Below are 20,683 nucleotides of genomic sequence, written 5' to 3' on the forward strand. Positions count from 1 at the left end.
ATATTGTTCAGCTAAAACAAGAAAAACATGTGTGCGTATGTGTGTTATACACACTTGAAAATGAAGCAAGTGTCAGAGTGTTAAAAAACTGTTGAATCTAGATGAACAGTGTATGGGTGTTGTACTATCTTTTTTTGTAGGTTTGAAAGTTCTTTAAATAAAAACTTAGGAGAAAAAATAAGCTATAAACAACTATTCTTCCCTGCAGGTCTCATTTTCTTGCTAATTTGGTTAATTTGTTATAACATCAAACTAGTTAATAATGTTAAATATACCTTTAATATTGGATTGAGAAACATTTAAACATTAACTATCAATAAAGAAGTTTATTTTTCTTTCATTGCTTTATAGGTTTATAGATTGTAAAGTCACAAGGTCAGGAAGTCCTGACATCCTTCCAGCAGTGGTTATAAGTGATACTTTTTGGCAGGAAAATAACTTCTAGCTGAGTATATGCAGCATAAAGGTTCCCTACTGCACAGAAGTCATTAATTTTTTTCTGAGTTAACATCACTAAAAGTCCCCCTTAGCTATAGCAGCCTTATGCATAGCCTTATTATTGAATGGTTTCATCCCAGCCGTATGTGGGTTTCATATGTCAGTTGATATTTAATGAGTAATATCTATGCCTTTTTTTTTCCTCATTGGATAAATGTTGGGGAAAAGAGATCTAATTGTCCTGGGGTTTTTTTTGTTTTTTGTCTTTTGTTTTTTTTTTTTTTTTTTTTTTTTTTGAGGCAGAGTCTTGCTCTGTTGCCCAGACTGGCATGCAATGATGCTATCTCAGCTCACTGCAACCTCCACCTCCTGGGTTCAAGTGTTTCTCCTGCCTCAGCCTCCTGAGTAGCTGGGATTACAGGCACGACCATCATGCCTGCCTAATTTTTGTATTTTCTACAGATGTCGTTTCACCGTGTTGGCCAGGATGGTCTCAAACTCCTGACCTCAGGTGATCTGCCCGCCCCAGCTTCCCAACGTGCTGGGATTACAGGCACGAGACACTGCACCTGGCTGTAATTGTCCTGTTTTTTTTCTGATTGTCCTAATTATTATGAAGCCATTATAATCTATTTTGTCTCTCTAGACTAGGGTATTTAAATTACTTCAAAACCAAATTCAACAACAAACTTGGACTGATGAGGGCACTCCATCTATGCGAGAGCTTCGGTCAGCCCTGCTAGAGTTTGCTTGCACCCACAACCTGGGGAACTGCTCTACTACTGCCATGAAACTGTTTGATGACTGGATGGCATCCAATGGAACTCAAAGGTGAAGTATACCTCTACTCAGATGAATTATCTTCTTTTTCTTTATTTCACATCATATACAGTATCCAGGGTATTCTCATCCTGGATCATAAATGTTATAAAACTGAGTGTCAGTGTAGGTGAACTCTATGTATCTGCATTCTCAAACAAGACTTTTTTTTTTTTTATTATACTTTAAGTTTTAGGGTACATGTGCACAATGTGCAGGTTAGTTACATACGTATACATGTGCCATGCTGGTGTGCTGCACCCATTAACTCGTCATTTAGCATTAGGTATATCTCCTAATGCTATCCCTCCCCCCTCCCCCCACCCCACAACAGTCCCCAGAGTGTGATGTTCCCCTTCCTGTGTCCATGTGTTCTCATTGTTCAATTCCCACCTATGAGTGAGAACATGCGGTGTCAAACAAGACTTTTTAAAAAATTGTGGTAAAATACACATAACATAAAATTTACTGTCTTAACCATTTTTTACTGTACAGTTCAGTAGTGTTAAGCATATTCACATTATTGTGTACTATATTTTCAGAACTTTTACATCTTGCAAAACTGAAACTCTGTACCCATTGAATAATTCCTCACTCCCTCTCCCCACCAGCCCCTGGTAACCACTATTCTACTTCCTGTTTTTGTGAGGTTGACTACACTGTATATCTCATATAAGTAAAGTCATATAGAATTTGCTTTTTTGTGACTGGCTCATTTCATTTACCATAACGTCTTCAAGGTTCTTCCATGTTGTAGCATGCATTAAAATTTCTTTCTTTCTTTCTTTTCTTTTTTTTGGAGATGGAGTCTTGCTCTGTCACCCAGGCTGGAGTGCAGTGGCGCGATCTCAGCTCATTGCAACCTCCACTTCTCGGGTTCCATTGATTCTCCTGCCCCAGTATCCGGAGTAGCTGGGATTACAGGCATCCGCCACCACACCTGGCTAATTTTTGTATATTTAGTAGAGACGGGGTTTCACCATGTTAGCCAGGCTGGTCTTGAACTCCTGACCTCAGAAAATCTGCCCACCTAGGCCTCCCAAAGTGCTGGGATTATAGGCATGAGCCACCATACCTGGCTAAAATTTCTTTCTTTTTAAAGGCTGAATAATTTTCCATTGTATGTATATACCACATTTTGTTTATCCATTCATTCCTGGATAGACCTTTGTGCTGCTTGTACCTTTTAGCTATTGTGAATAATAATGCCATGAACATTGGTGTGCAAATATCTCCTAGAGACCCTGCTTTCAATTCTTTTGGAAATACACCTGGAAGTAGTATTGCTGGATCATATGGTAATTCTAATTTTAATTTTTTGAGGAACTGCCATATTGTTTTCTACAGCAGCTGCACCATCATTCCAATTTCTCTACATCCTTGCCAACACTTGCCATTTTCTGGGTTTTTGATAGCAGCCATCCTAATGGGTGTGAGGTGATAAACAAGTCTCTTAATTTAGAAATAAAACATAGCAGGTAGAGTTAGCAGTTAACAGAAAAGCTTTTGGGGGTAATTAGTTCTCTCCAGCTCCTTACCGTGCATTATGGAGAGAAGATTCAAGCATCAGATGAAGAGTTGGGGTGGAGGATTTGGATAACGTTTTGAGGTCTTTCCCAGCTCTGAGATCTTAATAAAGGCAGTAGACTGTGTTTTCTCCCTGCACCCCATTTACTGCTATAGTTCTACCATGAAACTTATCACACTGAATTGTAATGCATATAGTTATTGCTCTATACTTCGTAGTAGCCTGTGAGTTCTCAGAGGACAGAGGCTCTCATTCCTTTTCCGCTCCCTAGTGTCCAGCCAGTCGCCTGCCTGGTTCTTTGTGAGTACTCTGTGAATATTAAATTGAACTGATGTATCCATAGACACACTACTAGGAAGATAGCAGTCACTGAATTAAACTTTTTCTCAACCCTAAATTGTGTACTCAAACTTGTTATTATTACCAACCCTCACACCAGAAACTCCACCACAGCCAACTCTTCGCCTTTGTATTCAGAATATTTTCTTGTTATTCTCATGTTTGACCACCTCTCTTACAGCCTACCTACTGATGTCATGACAACTGTGTTCAAAGTTGGAGCAAAAACTGACAAAGGCTGGTCATTCCTTTTGGGCAAATACATTTCTATAGGCTCTGAAGCAGAGAAGAACAAAATACTAGAAGCACTTGCCAGCTCAGAGGATGTGCGGAAGCTTTACTGGTATGAAATCACCGAGGAATATGATATACAGAAACCAAAAGAATACAAACACTGTGCTCTTGGTCAGGAGCTCATTTTTGAGGGGATCTCTTTTCCCCACTTCTGTTACAGGCCAGGCCTAAGTTGGACAGTGTGGTGAGGAGACTACAGGTGCTGGGCTTTATCTTTATGGACAAGCAGAAAATCCTTTGCCCAAAAGGGATTACAAGATGTCAGGAGTCACAGCCCCCTCCTACTCCTTGCTCAAAAAGTCTTCCTCCCCTTGGAATGTTGTCTTATACACCACAATTGGTACTCCATAGTTTAGGACCAAGGCATTGCTTTGTGCAAGCTGTCATTTTAAAAATGTAGGCATTTCAGAAAAAAAAAATCACATATTAAACCTTCTAGGTTCTACGTTCATATGAATTTATTTGTCAGACTTTTCCTTTTTAATATGTAGTGATGAAGGCCCAGAAGTAGGAGTGTCATATGGATGAAGGTAGGGCAGTAAGTAGGGCCTCCTGACAGGAAGAACAGGCAGTGGTGGGGTAGAGGAGCTCTACATAGCCAAGAGGAATATAGAGGTATCTGCTGTAGAGAGCACAGGTGTTAGAAGTCGCACTGAGGATAGAAGGAGGCTTCTGGGTCTCATTACTTCTGTTGTATGATTTTGCTCAGATAAATCTTAATAGTGTCCCAGAGATGTCCTCAGTACCTGTCCAGACCCACTTACCAAAAGATACGCTGTAAATAGTCATTTTCTTTAAAGTATTAGCCAGCCTCTGACTTAAGCAAATAGAGAAAAATCACTGTTTTTAAACTATGCTAGTAATACACTAAGAATGCCCATGATAAAGAATTTAAACAGTACCTAAGAATATAGAGTAAAATATGAAAGTATTTCTCATGATCCTTCACTTCCATTCTCGTTTTCTCTGTTAACAACAGTGTCAGTCCTGGTCTTTGTATTCATCTGTGGGAATGGATATTTGTACATATGTACGTACATACATACACACATACCTACATATTTAACTGCATTTTAAAAACCATATTAGGTTTATACCATACCCAGTGTTTTGTGACCATCTTTTTAGTGAATGATCAGTCTATGAGATTTTCCATGTCACTTCATGAAGCCTGCTTTATATATAAAAAAAAACTAAAGTGTTTTATGGGTTCATAATATTCTGTAGTATGGCCCTATCATAATTTATTTAATCCATCACGTTTTGTTGGGCTTTTGTTTTTTTCTCTCCTAAAAATACTGCCACAGTCTTGGAGTGGGGCGTGGTTTCTCACTATAAACAGATAGTATAGCATAGTAGATGAGAACTGCTTTTGTTCAGATGTCGGGCTTTGGTATTTATTACTGTGTGACTGTGGGTCAATTAGATAACCTCAGTTTCTTCAACTATAAAATTGAGTTAGGTAGTATTAATAAATACCTACTTTATAGCATTGTTGTGTCAAGGACTTAGAACATTATTTAGTACATAGTGTCAGTAAATGTTTGCTACGAACATTAATAAGAGTATATTCTGAAATGTATCCTAATTTTCAAATAATTCAAATGACCTAGTTTTTTTTAAGAATAGTAATATAATTAACCTGCCCATTCAAATCAAATAAGGTTTTTACCAGAAAAAAATACCCACCTCCCGAATTGTAATAAATTCTACCAGAACTTATTTCCTAAATGTTTTTACTATTTAAAAACTATTTATTGTCATGTGACAATATAGGTAAATGCCTATTTTATTGGTGAGTTCTTTCTTCATTTAAAAAAAATGACATTTTCAATCTATAGATCAACCGTAGACTAATGCAACAGTTATTTCTCAATTTGCTACACAGCTTTAATTAGGAAACCATACTAATTTTAATTTAAGTTCAGTCATCACTTCTTCATGAATAATAATTTTGGAGGCTAAATCTGCTTTGCTCTTCAGGTTAATGAAAAGTAGCCTGAATGGAGATAACTTCCGAACACAGAAGCTGTCTTTTATCATTAGAACAGTGGGTCGACATTTTCCTGGACACTTACTGGCATGGGATTTTGTCAAAGAGAACTGGAATAAGCTTGTACAGAAGTAAGTTTCTCAGAGAATTATTAACTTTTAGTATTCTCAAGTTGTGCATTTGAAAAAAGCTCCCAGTGTTTTGGCTCACAGAAGTTAGGATTTGCTGTGAGAGGAAAAATACTTCCATGACAGTTTAACTGAAACATCCGGAAATTTTCACATTTGTTAACATAATTCCATAGCATGAATCATTTAACAGTAGCATTCCATCTAAGTTCTAATTAAGCCTAGCCTTGCTTGGCACCAGGTTACTTAGCTCAGCGTGGCTACAGACTATTTCATAGCAACCATTTAGCTATGCATATTGAAAAATACCTCTGTATGGCCGGGCGCGGTGGCTCACACCTTTAATCCCAGCACTTTGGGAGGCCGAGATGGGCGGATCACGAGGTCAGGAGATCGAGACCATCCTGGCTAACACGGTGAAACCCCATTTCCACTAAAAATACCAAAAATTAGCCGGGCATGGTGGCGGGTGCCTGTAGTCCCAGCTACTTGGGAGGCTGAGGCAAGAGAATGGTGTGAATCTGGGAGGCAGAACTTGCAGTGAGCCGAGATTGTGCCACTGCACTCCAGCCTAGGCAACAGGGCGAGACTCCGTCTCAAAAAAAAAAAACAAAAAGGAAAATACCTCTGCATTGCCAAGGCATCAGTTAAGAACTCACATTCAGCTAGATGCAGATGTAGGTTTTTTGCTTCTTTCTCTCTTTTAAATCAATAATGGCATTTCTGGGTGTACAGTGTGATCTTCGACAATGTTAAGCGGATTAATTGTCTGCATGTTCTGAACTCTTCCCTTTTTCTGCCCACCTTTCCTTCCCACCGACAATAAGTATGCATAGGGCTACCCCGGTTTCCTCAGTTGCAGTTCCGGGAGGAGGATTCCACTCTGGCTTTGGCATTAAAGACTTTTCCTTGCACTCAGGAACAACGCTTTACCAGCAGCTGCCTAATCTTTTTGCTCTTGTTTTTGTGTTTCTTCAGGTTCCCTCTGGGGTCCTATACCATACAAAATATTGTTGCTGGATCAACTTACCTGTTTTCAACAAAGACACATTTATCTGAGGTTGGTTTTATAAAATGATAATACAGAGACTGGGCAACCCTCCGCACACCCGGACCAGGCTGCTCAGTTTTAGTGAGATGGTGGATTTTCATGCTAATTCCTTCTCTTATCTCTGTCTTCCTTTATCAGTACTAATGATTCTGCATTGTGATTACTTCTAGAGGGTGGCATATATGATAATGAGGAAAAAATCTGATTCCATTCTCTTCCCTTGTCTCCCTAATACAAATAATTTAAGTGGTCATAAAATTGTTTGGAAGAATTGCATTCTTGGGGTGAATTCATAGCACCAAGCCTTTGGACTCTACTTTATTTATTGTTACTTAAACATCTCCTTGGTTCCATTTTAAGTTAGAAAAATGTATCTGTGTGGGAGTAAAAAGATTTCCTTTTTAAAATCATTTCAGATATCACCATACTTGATTGGGAACTCCATGTAGATACCTTGAATATTAAAGTACTTCTTTCTACTGCTTTCAAGATAGCAGCACAGCCATCACTAAGTTAAAGCTTATTTTAAAAGCTGGGGTTACCTGAGGTTTATCGTCCTTTTCTTCTTTTGAAATTCTTCTGTGTGAAACTTACAGGTTCAGGCATTCTTTGAAAATCAGTCAGAGGCAACCTTCCGGCTTCGTTGTGTCCAGGAGGCTTTGGAAGTCATTCAGTTGAATATCCAGTGGATGGAGAAGAACCTCAAAAGTCTCACATGGTGGCTGTAGCATGCACAACCGCACCTCATTTTGTTGCCCATTCAGAGAGCTTGTAAGCTTGGGCTCTGCCGCTTTTGCAAAAGCCAAGGTAAAGCCAGGATCGCTGCCAAGTTGTTTGCACTCTTTGGAGTTCTAGTTAGCTCAGGGCCTGACTGTATTTTTCATCCATCTTTTCTGAAGTGTCTTTGGGCAGTATGTAGTTATTTATTACAAAATTATATTCACCTAAATGCCAACCATCTACAAAAACAATGAGTAATTTTTCTACTTTGAAGATACACAGATGGGGACAAAAACCCTGTTTTGGAATTCTGTTCTATTCCTCAGTATCCAGAAAGTTACTGACACAGTAAAACAAGGAAAGTTCTACCCTAAGAGCCGCCATCACTTCAGGCCGCTGGTTTGTCAGCCATCTGTTGCTTCTTATTGATAGATGGCATTGGAATGTGGTACAAAGTTAGCTCTGAAGAATATGGTAACGAAGACAATAAAGCATGCACTGTAAGAACTGACCTCAGGTGTGCAGATCTACTTTGATTTGGGGTTTTGATTAATTCTTTATTTTTCTGAAAAAAAGTTTAAATAATGTCTGTAACTATTGTGTTTTTTTCCTGCCGAATAGCCAGGTGCTACAGATTTTTAAAATTTTTGTTGTATTGAAAAGCTAAACAAGGCCAAAAGGTTAAATTTTTTGAATATTTAAGACTTTCTTTTTCATCTTTTATAGCGTTACCATAGGAAACTGTTCCAAACTGAGTTAGCTTTAATTATAATTATTTTATTCATAAATGGTGATAGTCCCCAGATCTGTACACCTTTATCACTCCCTGCCGTAGATATACTTTAGGTTAGTATTTCTACATTCGTGGCAAGCATTTTGGTAACACCAGTGGTTTTCATTGTGACTTTTATCACTATCACTAAGAATGCAATTTAAGTTGCCTTTTGGCATCATAGATCATAGAAACTTTCTCTCTGAATCATACCCATGTGTGAATTTTCATTTTATATGATAGTGTAGCATATTAGAAGCATATTTTAAAACAGAGCCTTTGAGAAATTGAAAAACAATTATTTGAAGTTCACCATAGTACCTTAAAGGAACAAAGAGAATGTGGGATAGGAGTAACTTGAATTCGTGTTTAGTATGGTGGGCTTTGAATTTTTTTCACTATCAAAAATAGTGCTTTTGTTTAGTTAAAAATTGTAGTTTTTCTTTTTTTGTGTGTCCAAACTAACATAAAAGGAGTGGTCAAAGAAGGAAAGAAGAAAAATGAGGGAGGATGTCCGAAACTGTATGGCATTTTACTCCTTCTGAAAGAGAAATACTGTACTTGAATTTTTGAGCTATGCAGACTTATACCTAGATTGTTGTGTTTCTTTGATTCTTAGGAGAAAAGCTTTCTTCCTAATAATTCTTGAGAACTTTATATTTTGTTTGAAAACAGTTTCTATGTACATAAAAAGGGTATTTACCCATTTGTGAGCACTTAAAACACTCCACAGAGTCAGACAGTGGGAAAGGTCACCCTTTTTTTATTCGGCAGGTATCAAGTTAGAATGTATGGAATTGTGAATAAAATTATATTTTATTTTATGAAAATATTTTTATATAATAAAATTTAAAAGGCTGGTAAGCTAAAAAAATAGTCTTCTTTAATCCTAGTGTGTTTTCCCCAATTTAGTCTTTTCTAAAATTTATCTGTTTTAGAGTAGAAAATATTATATCCTGAGAATCACAGAATCATCTAAATATGTCTTATTCAACTGAAGTGATTGTAAGTCTTTATTCTTGTGCTTTGGTTAAATGAATGATAATTTAGTTGATAGTGAAAGTTAATGTGTTTTTATATTTTTAGAGTGAGGGAAAAATACTAAACTTTTGAGAGTTTTGTTGTCGTTGCTGGTTTTTTACCATGTGGTACTAAATTCCACTTTGATACAAAATTTAAATTTTGTAACTTCTCAAAATCACTTAAGATTCTTCAGTTTTACCTGTGCTTCTTGACATCGCTCCTATAATGTATGTTAGTTAACTCTGCATATGGCAAATCTTGTCTTGAATTATATCATTTCTCTCCCTCTCTCTCTCTCTCTGTGTGTGTGTGTGTGTGTGTGTGTGTGTGTGTGTGTGTGTGTGTGTGTAGTGTGGGGGGTATTGTTATGAGTAAAACTTTATCAAAACTTGGCCTGAAAAAGAGATAACTCATGATCCATTGCTATCTTTATTACTCAAAGGCTGTTCATTCCCATAATACCAGATCCATAATAGTTGTAGTTTTTTTGATGTTGTTGCCCTTACCTTAATTATTTGTAGTTTTAGTAGGCCTTGCCTCAGTTTTTCCCACAGAATTCCATAATTTTAATGTTGAACTAACCCATCTATATAGGACTTCTAAAAACTACGTCAGGAATGTAAGGTTAAATGAGAGGTAGAACTTGTAGTGTAATAGGTATAATGGTAGCTTTCAAAGTTTTATCTTCTCAAAACATTGTCTTAGCCAGTGTATTTCTGAGAACTCAGACTGAAGCACAGAAGTCACAGTATGCTTCTTTTATTTAAGCACACAGATTCATGACACAAGTACTTGTTGAACAAGTGTTCTCATTGCAGAGAGATCTACTTGAATATAAAAGGGTCATCATACTAGATTATTAAAAAAGAATTGGAAATCTTGAGTTGTGGAAGAAATGTTTATGCTTTGGAGATCTAAAAAAGTTATGAATGTAGGAATTAGATAAGTCCAGTTTGTTCTGTTAATATAAAATGGTTAGATATATTAAACTGCAAGTAGTATCAGCTTCACCATAAGCTTGGGCCTTCCTCCATCTTGTTTTATTTAAGTCTCTTTAAATGAAATTTTGTTGTCATTGTTTCAGCATTCATGAACTTTCTTACTATCACAGGTTCTACTTTAATTTTCCTTGCCATATGTGTTTCCATTTTGTGGGACATTAGCCACCACAGGAACACAAGAGTTGTCAGAAGACTCCTGGGTGTACAGAGCAAATCAAGCTGCATCAGTATTATAGGATACCAAACAGAATCCTTTCTATTAGGAAATAAGAAATCAGTTAAGTGTTGGCTGGGCGCGGTGGCTTATGCCTGTAATCCCAGCATTTTGGGATGCCAAGGTGGGCAGACCATTTGAGGCCAGGAGTTCTAAACCAGTTTGGCCGACATGGCAAAACCCCATCTCTACTAAAAATATAAAAATTAGCTGGGCATGGTGGTGCACACCTGTAATCCCAGCTACCTGGGAGGCACGAGAATCACTTGAACCCAGGAGGCGGAGGTTGCAGTGAGCCAAGGTTGTGCCACTGCACTCCAGCCTGGGTGACAAAGCGAGACTGTCTCAAAAAACAAAAAACAAAAAAAAAAGAGTTAAGTGTTGATTTTGTTGGATTACTGACAGTTTGTTGAGATGGATTTTAAAAAGAGTCTATTTAAACCAAAGTACCTGGAACCATAATCTGCCATCAGATTGCTAAACATTCACATAATCCCCATGTTTCATGGGGCTTCAGGGAAGGCAAATACATCTGAGATGAGCCACCTCCAAGGACAGCATTTCCTGGGCTGCAAAACTAGATGTGGATTTTGTTACTTAGGCCTCTCTAAAAACTGAGGCCATGGATATGACATAGCTTTTCTTCTCACCTATGCCTTTGTTACTTTTGTATTTATTGGAATTAAATCTCTTTTTAAAGAGCTTCCTTCCCCCTTCATCCCATTTGTATTTTTAAAAACTAAGTTATATATATATTTGCTTGTTTTTGCATTCTTTTATTTTGTGCTCCATTCCCTGCTTTGCCAGTTAAGTACTACCTGAAAAGTAGCGGTTCAAAAGTATGGTAAATCTCCTCCCTTAACCTTATTGCCTGTGTGGGTGACAGCTAATGGAAAAGTTGATCGATTTTTTTCAGTGGTTTTTTTGGGAGTATATACTTTAAAAATGTACATACATGTTTTTGATAGTTTTTATATTATTTCATTTTGTATATTTTTTTCCTGATGAAGAGTGATATATCATCCTATGAAAATTTCATCTACCCTTCCCATTTTACCTGTATGGGCAGTAGCTACAGACTAGTTATTTGGTTTCCTTCTTTGGAAGAAGGTGGTGATGTTGAGAGGAGAGCAAGCTATATTCTTTTAAAAGTGTGTACAGATGTTTTTGCTATTTTGTGTTATTTCATTTTGTATTTCATTCATCCATTTTGTGGACGTGTAGATAAAACGCGGTGGTCCAAAAGCATGACAGATGTCCCCTTTGCGTTTCTCCTTATTGTTCGCATGGACAATAACTGACAGAGTAGTCCTAGTTGCTGTTGTTTTGATCTAGTCTTGGGGCTGGGGTTGTATATTATTCTTTCAAGTGTGTATAAATATTGTGCCACCTTTTTATACTTCATTTTATACTTGTTTCCTTGTATGGATGCATATATACTTAATGAAAATTGAGGTTCAGAGTATGACAAATCTCTTTTCCCTTTTCCTTACTGCCTATTTAGGCAATAGCTAATAGAGTAGTTTGTTTTGTTTTGGGGTGTGGGGGAGAGTGGAGTATGTACTTAATGTATATAAATAAACTTGCTACTACATTGTATTACTAATTTGGTTCACACTGTGTCCTTCTCATGGATGTGAAAGTACCAATGAAATGTGGAGATCTCGATGTATAACAGTCTCCCATTCTCCTCATCCCTTATTGACTGCTGGGCAGTAGCTAACAGAGTAGTTGTCAAGTGGCGTATTTGAGGTGAGGGGGAGGGACGGGGAAGGTAGGAAAATGCACTTAATGTATATACATGTTTTTACTACTACATTGTATTAATTCATCGGGTGCCCAGACTGAAAGGTACCTAATGAACCATGGAGTTCCGGATGTATAACAGTCTCCTCTTTTCCCTTTCCCTTATTGCCCATGTGGGCAATACTTAAGAGTAGTTTGGGTTTATTGAAGATTTTTTGCTAGGAGAGAGAAAATTTTTTGCTAGGAGAGGTTTCAAGGTAAGAGTATATACTTTAAACATGTATATAAATGTTTTTGCTACTTTTCTGTCACTACCTTTCTTACCTTGTCCTTTACATGGATATATGAAGAAAATTGAGGTTCAGCCTGTAGCAGCTCTCCTCTTCTGCCCTTCCCTTAGATTGTCTGTGTGGGCAGGTGTCTAAGAGAGTAGTTGATTAGCTTCAGGGATTCTTTGGTGGGTGTTGGGGTATATACTTTTGTATATGTATGTACATATTTTTATTTCTTTATTATAGTGTTTCATTGGGTACCCGGTCCTTCACTTGGATGTGTAGGTTCCTAATGAGCCATGGAGTTATGGATGTATAACAATCTGTTCTCCCTTTACCCTTTTAATGTATATGGGCAATAATTTTAAAGTAGTTTGGATTTTTTTAAGTTTTGAGGGGTGGGAGGGGTCTAAGGCAGAATATATCCTTTTTAAAAATGTATATATACTTTTCATTAACTATATTGTATTATTTCATGCTGTACCCAGTCCATTGCTTGGACTTACGGGTACCTAATGAAACGTGGAGGTCCGGATGTATGAAAATCTCCTCTTTTCCCCTTTCCTTATTGCCTCTGTAGGCAATAATTATAGAGTAGTATAGATGGTTTTTCTTTTTTATCCATCTGCCTATCTCCAGGAGGATGGGGTGTGCACTTTTAGAAATGTATATAAATGTTCTTGCTCCTTTTTCCTGTTACTTCATTGTGTGCCAAGGCCTTTCCATGGATACTTAGGTACGTAATGAAAATTGAGGTTCATTCTATGAAAAAATCTCCCCTTCTCCCCTTCCCTTATTGCCTGTCTTGGCAATGGCCAGTAGAGTAGTTATTTAAGGGATTTTGTTTTTTTGTTTTTTTGTTTTTTTTTTGGTAGGGGAGGTGGGGAATTTCTGGGTTTGTCTTTTTTTTAATGTATATAAAAGTTTGCTAGTTGTTGTTATTGTTGTTCTTTCACTCTCAACACAGTTTTTTGTTTGGAGTTGTAGGAATCAAATGTAATGAGGGACCCAGACCCGAGAGTGTGGTAAATATTCTTTGCCTTCCTCAGAGCCTGTATACACAAGCAAGTAGTATGTGAGCACTACAGGGCTTGGGTTTTGGTTTTTTGCTTTTGAGGGTTTTAATGAGGAGTGGGATTGTTGAGAGGAAAAGGCAAGATATATAATTTTTTTAATGTATATAAATGTTTTGCTCCTTTTTGATGTTAACTTCATTTTGAATCTGGTCCTTTGTATGACCACTTAGGTACTTAATAGTAATAAAGTTGAGATTGACTCTATGAAAAATATCCCATACTCCCCATCCCTCATTGCCTAGGGGGCAATGGTAGAATAGATGTTTGGTTTCTTTTGGGGGTGTCTGAGTGTATATGTGTGTGTATATACACACAAGAACACACATATTTATATACTATACACACACATTTTAATGTATATAAATATTTGCTACATTCTGTGTGTTATATAATGTGGTACCCAGTCCTCTGCTGGGACATGGATGTACATAATGAAACATGGAGGTCCAGACGTATGATAACTCTCCTGTTTCCCTTCCCTCATTGCCTACAGGGGCAATAGTTTCATATCTTGGGTTTTTTATTGTTTAATTTTTTTTTATGGGGAGGGGTTCTTTGGGTGGGTAATAGTCAGGGGGAAAGGACAGTGTCTATACTTTTTAAAGATGTATATAAATGTTTCATGTTATTGGTTTTGTACCTAGTCCTTTGCATGGATATATAGGTACCTAATGAAAATCGAGGATCAGTGTATGACAAATCTCCCATCCTCCCCTTTCCTTATTGCCTGTGTCGGCAATAGGAAGTAGAATAGTTGTGTGTTGTTTACTTACTTGTCTGTTTTAGAGAGATTTCTATTTTTGGTAGGGGAATATTCTTAATATGTTTTCATATCTTTATTTCATTTTGTAGTCTTTTGCATGGCTATGTAGGGACCTAATGAAAGTCGAGTTTCATAATATGACAGCTCACTTCTTTTCCTACATATTTCCTCACTTAGCAGTAGCTAGTGTAGTTATTTTGTGGTTATTTTATTTCATTCTCTAGGATCTATTCCATTAAGGATGCAAGTGTGTAGATGCATATATATCATTTGCTTCTTTCTTCCGCCATTATTTTCCTTTAACACTTAGTCCCTTGCAAGGGGTCTGACTATACCTAACAAAAATAAAGACCTACTAAATCCCTGCCATCTGGCTGGAAGGTGTAGCAGTGTATTAATGTAACTAATAGCAACAGGTGTGCAGCAGATAAGACAGGAGAAGACACTCAGCTATGGTTGAGTTGTGAAAGCTAATTAGATCCAGCATTTCTTATGTTGATTCAGATTGAATGAGGTAGTGAAAAGGGACCTGTGCTTTTGTAAATTCTAGAAAGGCAAGAGGACAATATTGAATAAAGCTGTGTTTAAACTTCATTGCTCATATATCTTTTAGTAACTGGTAAACCGGCGAAGCTGATAAGCCAATAAGAGTGCTGTCTAGAACGCATTTGCAAACCGTTAAGAGTAGCTTCTTTTTGAGGCCTGGACTTCTGATTCATCTATAGAAGTCTATTATGATTCCATCAATTGCATAGCTTGTGTACCTGGTAGAAATTGTGTCTTGGAATGACCCTTTCGAGTTATTGACATGGCTCTGATGAATAGAACATGAGCCCCAAAACTAAATCCAAAAGGAATTTTCTATCTTTCATCCCCCACATGTGGCAAGACAAGTTGGCCCTTTCTTACCCAGAGGTCTTTTGTGTGACTGCATCTTTCTCCTCCGTTCTCCATTGTGTGCTTTCCATTTTGTCTTTAGTGCCTATACTGTTAGGTGTTTTCTTCACTGGCATTCACAAATTTAAGCCATTGCTGCCTCATTAGCCTTGTATTTTGTGTGCATATCATGTATCCAGACCTGTATGTTCGCTTTAAGCATTCTTATATCACACTGTCTCCTCATCTACCATATGGTAAATGTTAAAACTCCACATTTGTCTGCATCAGGGAAAATGCATGGGCACACATCCTCCCTCCCTCCCTCTCTGCTCTCCTCCCTTCCTTCAGGCCTCTTAGCATTGTTTGTTTTCCCATTTCTGATACTACTACTCCATGCTGAAGATTTGCCATATTACTATTTTGGAAACATTGAGTGATAGAACTCCTAGAAAATTTGCAAAGAAATGTTACATACTGTATATCAAACTCTCAGATTCTAGTGTTGAAAAAGTAGCCTATACTTTGCTATTACTTATACCTGCTGCCATAGAAAAAAATAAGTTTATTCATGACACATTTACATTTGATCATAAATAAAAGAAAAAAGGGCACCTTTTTGGAGTTAGTCATGGTAGTCATTAGTGATATTTCTGAACAGTTCTTAATTTAAAATACTTCAAAGGAAGTAAAGGTCATGGCTTAGCTGAAGGAAATGCTCCAGAAATTGGACTGTGTAAACCATCAGTACAATAATACGCTGTGTATGTATGTGTATATAAAATGAGAATTATGGCATAATTGGAGCATTTGCATTAATCAACAAACTCACATTGAGACAAAACTTAGTTTTACAGCTGTCTTGATTAAAGCCAAGTGTTCCATGTTGCTGTGAAGAATAGCCTCTTTCAAATACTTTGGAAAGTAGTTACTTGGAAACTTGTAAAGGTATTACATTTTTATATTTAAACACCTATAGAGATCTTCAATTCCTTGAGTCTGAGCTTGTGGGTGGAATTCTAAATTTGTATCATAATCTGTCTTTTGTGAAACATTTTGAAAATATGTATATATAATATTGTATATGCAAATTGTGTTGTTTCACTTGTAAAGGGAAAAGGCTTATTTTTCTTTATATTTCTGATAACTTGTTTTGCATATGACCAGCACTGACTGAAAGGCATGTGTAGCTGCAAACACTGTTGCTTTTTTTGTGAAATGAAAATAAAAGTATTTAAATACAAACATTGTGTGGACTCTTTGGATTAATGTATATATAAAGTGGTATCTCTTCTTAGGTTATGACCTCTACCAGGGCAGCTCCTGTACTCATTGTCTTCTGTGGTTAGTTTTTTATTTCACCAGTATCCAGTGTCTTTATTGCATATACCTCAGTTGACATTTGACATTCGGAGGTGGCTAATTCTTTGTTGTGGGGGCTGTTCTGTGTATCATAGGACATTTAGCAGGATCCCTCCCATGCCAATTGCAACTAGTTGCCAATAGTAACTCTTGTCCCCAGCTGTGACAACTAAAACCTCTCCTCCAGACATTGCCAAATGTCCCCTGAGGTTAGGGTTAAAACTTTGAGTGGATGCATAGGGCGGATAGCTAACAGTCACGGGAGCTCCATCAGGACCATTATTTACTTTTTGGACTAAAGCAGTTCTTGTAAACACTCAGGTCACCTAAGTAGCCAACTGATGCAGTAGTCATACAGTACCTAAATCAGTGTGAGAAATGTCATACGTGTCGTATGCCAGTGAAACCAAGGAACGCTGTCTTACTTTGAAGGTGAGACATTGGATGTTATCAGGGAAATACCCCTTGCGTTGATTCACATATAAGTAGGAGTATGAGTGCACCTTTTTAGAGGCACACTGCCACGGTTACATTCCTGGTCAGGTCTACAAAAGGAGTTTCTTGGTTCTGTCTGCATGAGTAGCCTTGAGGAAGAACTGAGAATTTCTTAGGCTTCCAGATATATGAACTAGAATAAGTATTCTTTTACAGTAATTGTTAGGTGGGCGTTTGAAGGCAAAGTAAGTCTTAACTCCCATACCCAAAATCCTATTTCTGAGGACACAAAACCTTGATGCATGCCCTTTTAAAATCTCTTATAATGATCATTACTAATATATAGGGGAAATGTTCTTAAAATTGTGAAGTTTTGATCAGAAGCTTCTGGTTAAATTTTTTGTGCTTTTTAATTCACAGATACCAGCAGTAAACAATTGAACTAAAACCCATTATAAATGTAAAGAACACTTTGATTCTGATAGACTTTTTGGATGGAGAGTAACAATAACCTATTTTTCTAAATTATTTTTAGAACCCATGGTACAGAAGAATGATTCAGTTGTATCTTCTTTTTGCTTCTTCTGTTCTTACATAAAGCCCCCCGACCCCCCACCGCCAACACACACACAAAGGCTCTGGTGTTTACTAAAACTTGTGTGCAAGTTGAACAGTTGACTTACATGCTTAAAGAGGTGGTTTTCTGCTAGAGGGCAAAAACATACTTTTAAGTCGTTAATTTCACCCACCTACTAGATCCATAATTGATATGTTCCCAATGCTCTGTGCTTGTTTACTTTTATCATTTCTCTTCATGGATGACCTCCATTCAACTGGCCAAAGTCCAGTTGAATTGAAATGCACTTTGGGTACCCCTGTAATTTCTGTTGTTGGCTGAGCTGAATAATCAGGACCTTGGCTTACACAGAATAAGTTTGATTCTTGCTTTCCTATTCCCATTTGTGTTTATAAAAGAAGAACCTAATGTGATAATAAAATAGCAGTCATCAGAGTTGAACTGTTGACCAGCAGGCAGCACCAGGAGGTAATAGTTTGAAAGGAAGTCAGGGAACATACCAGAGGCCACTTCAGCATAGGAAAGACAATTTAGGGCTGTCAGTGTGTTGCTTATTAAAGTGTCATTTGTGTACAAACCAAATGTGGGAAATTGAAAGTTCTTTTGTTCAGCAGTTTCTGATGCTGTTGCTCTTCTATGTGAATGCAGCTGAAAAGATCTTTGGGTCCTACATGCAGGATTGAACATGGGCTGCCCTATGGGTTTAGTGGCTGTTTATGTCTTCATTTTTTTTCCTCAAAGACCTCTGTAATTTTTAACTTCAGCAAAATTATTGGAATATTACTATTATCACATAACAAAAGGTAACAATTTCAAGAAATTTAAATACTTGAAAGGCTATTAGGCTGGTATCAGTCAGAACTAGAATTGATTTCTGGTTCAATCATTTTCCACTTAGAGAGTTGTTACTAATTCCTGTTTGCCTCAGTTTCCTCCATTTATAAAACTGAGATAGTGCCTACCTACCTACCTTGCAGGGTTGTTAGCATTAAATAAAAGAACCTATAAATTGTTTAGTATATTGCCGGGCCCAGGCAGAGTAATTATCAACTGTCATTGTTAAAACTCTCAGCGCTTAATGAGGTGTATGGATATTAATATCTTCAGCTACAGATGGATATGAGTTTTTAAAATTGAATAAGGTATATAACTTGCCAGTTAGGAAATTACAAAAATAATTTTAGTCTAATATGCTTTTTATTTAAGCCTTAAATATGCAAAGATTTTATTTGAGAGGCATTATATTAGAAAAAATGTGGTTATATAGGTTTTACAACTGAAGTTAATTCTGGCTGTCACTGAATTTGGTTAATTAAAAGTAGACACAAAACAAAATCCTGACTCTTGACTAATCTGCAAAGCATATCTACTTTGCAGTAATAACATGAAGAACAGGTATATAGGAAAATACACCTGGTCCTTCGTAGGTGCTCCACAAATACTCCTTTCCTTCTCTCAGTTTATTTGCCTAAGCATGCAAATGAATCAAGCATGCCTAAGTCTCTATTCTAGCTAGAAAAAAAATTGTTTGCAACTTATGCATTAGATGGCATGATGGAGAGAAATTGGCCAAATACTTTAGGACCTGGGATTATTAGTGCTAGAAGGAAAACTTCTTCCACATGACCTAGTCTAAATTTCCTCCTTTTACAGATTAAGGGCATTAGAAGTTATGCTTGAGCTAAAATCCCACATGATATAACATTATATGTTAAATTTGTATATGTTTTTAGATTAGACACAGTTTATATGCATCATTTTTGAGACAAATGATGTGCAATTGCCTGCGGGATACTGCTTCTTTGGAGAAGAGAGTATTCGAGTTTGCTGTTGAAAGAGGTGTTTCATTAATGTTGAGTGCAGAGCTAAATTAAACTATCCTAATGTTTTCACTTTTACATTTAATGATGCTGTGAATGATTCAAATAACATGATCTCAAAAGAGTAGCATTTTTTTTAATGTTTAAATGAAGTGAATTACATTGAAGTAATCTCTCTCAGGTGGAAGATACTAATGTCAGAAGGTTCAGACACTCACCACCAAAGGGAATCTCAGGAAGGACGGAGGGTGGTTAGCATTGGTAAAGTAACAGCTGCCATAATGGTTGATGAGCTGAATGAAAAGAATATAAACGTTAAGCTTCGCCGACTACAGGTAGAAGGTGAAAATGAACCATTTTCCTGAAGTACAGTCATGTGCCACAATGATGGTCCCATAAGGCTATAATGGAGCTGAAAAATACCCATTGCCTTGTGACATCTTGATGATCCTGACCCCGTGTAGGCCTAGGCTAATGTGTTTGGTTTTGTCTTAGTTTTTAACAAAAAAAGTTTAAAAATAAATTTTAAATATAAAACATAGAATAAGATATAAAGAAAATTATTTTGTACAGCTGTAGTGTGTGTTTAAACTGTGTTATTACAAATGAATCAAAACATTTTAAACGATTAAAAAGTTTACATCAAGGTAAGGTTAATTTATTATTGAAGAAAGAAAAATTCTTTTATAAGCTTAGTGTAGCCTAAGTGTACAGTGTTTATAAAGCCTACAGTAGGGTACAGTAATGTCCTAGGCCTTCACATTCACTCACTGACTCACCCAGAGCAACTTCCAATCCTGCAAACTCCATGCATGGTAAGTGTTCTACACAGCTGCGCCATTTTAAAAATCTTTTTTTACGCTGTTTTTACTGTACCTTTTCTATGTTTAGATGTATTTAGATGCACAAATACCATTGTGTTATAGTTGCCTATGGTATTCAGTACAGTCACATGCTATACAGGTTTGTAGCCTAGGAGCGAAGCAATAGGCTATACCATATAGCCTAGGTGTGTAGTAGGCTAAACCATCAAGATTTGTGTTGTTTGCACCATGATGAAATCAGCAAGCAATGCATGACTGTAGTTTGAAATCAGCCCGAGATAAGGCCTTCAGTCCTCAGCCACAGAACCCTGGACTTTGAGAGCAGACTGACATCCTTTCCTATTTTTCTTGTTTTTCTTTTCCTTTTTTTTAAAAAAAAAAAAAAAACAGGGTCTCACTCTGCCACCCAGGCTGGCGTGCAATGGCATGATAATGGCTCACTGCAGTCTCGACCTCCTGGGCTCAAACTATTCTCCCATCTCAGCCTCCCGAGTAGCTGGGACCACAGGTGTGTGCTACCATGCCTGGCTAACTTTTTAAAATTTTGTATAAAGACAGTGGTCTCTCTATGCTGCCCAGGCTGGTCTTGAACTCCTGAACTCAAGTGATCCT

At 37.2% G+C, this 20,683-nt stretch overlaps 1 protein-coding gene across 3 annotated transcripts in view, besides 1 other annotated feature; it reads left to right on the forward strand.

The window, feature by feature from the left end:
* The window catches only part of LNPEP (leucyl and cystinyl aminopeptidase), a 101,434-nt gene extending 85,136 nt beyond the window's left edge, over positions 1-16,298 (forward strand). For 2 of the 3 annotated variants that reach the window (NM_005575.3, NM_175920.4), the window contains exons 14-18: positions 1,085-1,269; positions 3,306-3,467; positions 5,402-5,542; positions 6,518-6,599; positions 7,187-16,298. In NM_005575.3, the coding sequence (NP_005566.2) occupies positions 1,085-1,269; positions 3,306-3,467; positions 5,402-5,542; positions 6,518-6,599; positions 7,187-7,318 (702 nt within the window). In that variant the 3' untranslated portion in view covers positions 7,319-16,298. The remainder of the gene's footprint in view (positions 1-1,084; positions 1,270-3,305; positions 3,468-5,401; positions 5,543-6,517; positions 6,600-7,186) is intronic. The other variant, XM_047417177.1, reaches the window with a different exon arrangement.
* Positions 19,976-20,176: a silencer, noted in NCBI's record as "peak5362 fragment used in MPRA reporter construct". NCBI's record gives its function as "represses an SCP1 promoter by STARR-seq MPRAs in K562 erythroleukemia cells {active_cell/tissue: K562}" and the evidence as "EXISTENCE:reporter gene assay evidence [ECO:0000049][PMID:32103011]".

The sequence above is a fragment of the Homo sapiens genome, chromosome 5 (assembly GCF_000001405.40).
Source record: "Homo sapiens chromosome 5, GRCh38.p14 Primary Assembly".
Classification (NCBI taxonomy): Eukaryota; Metazoa; Chordata; class Mammalia; order Primates; family Hominidae; genus Homo; species Homo sapiens.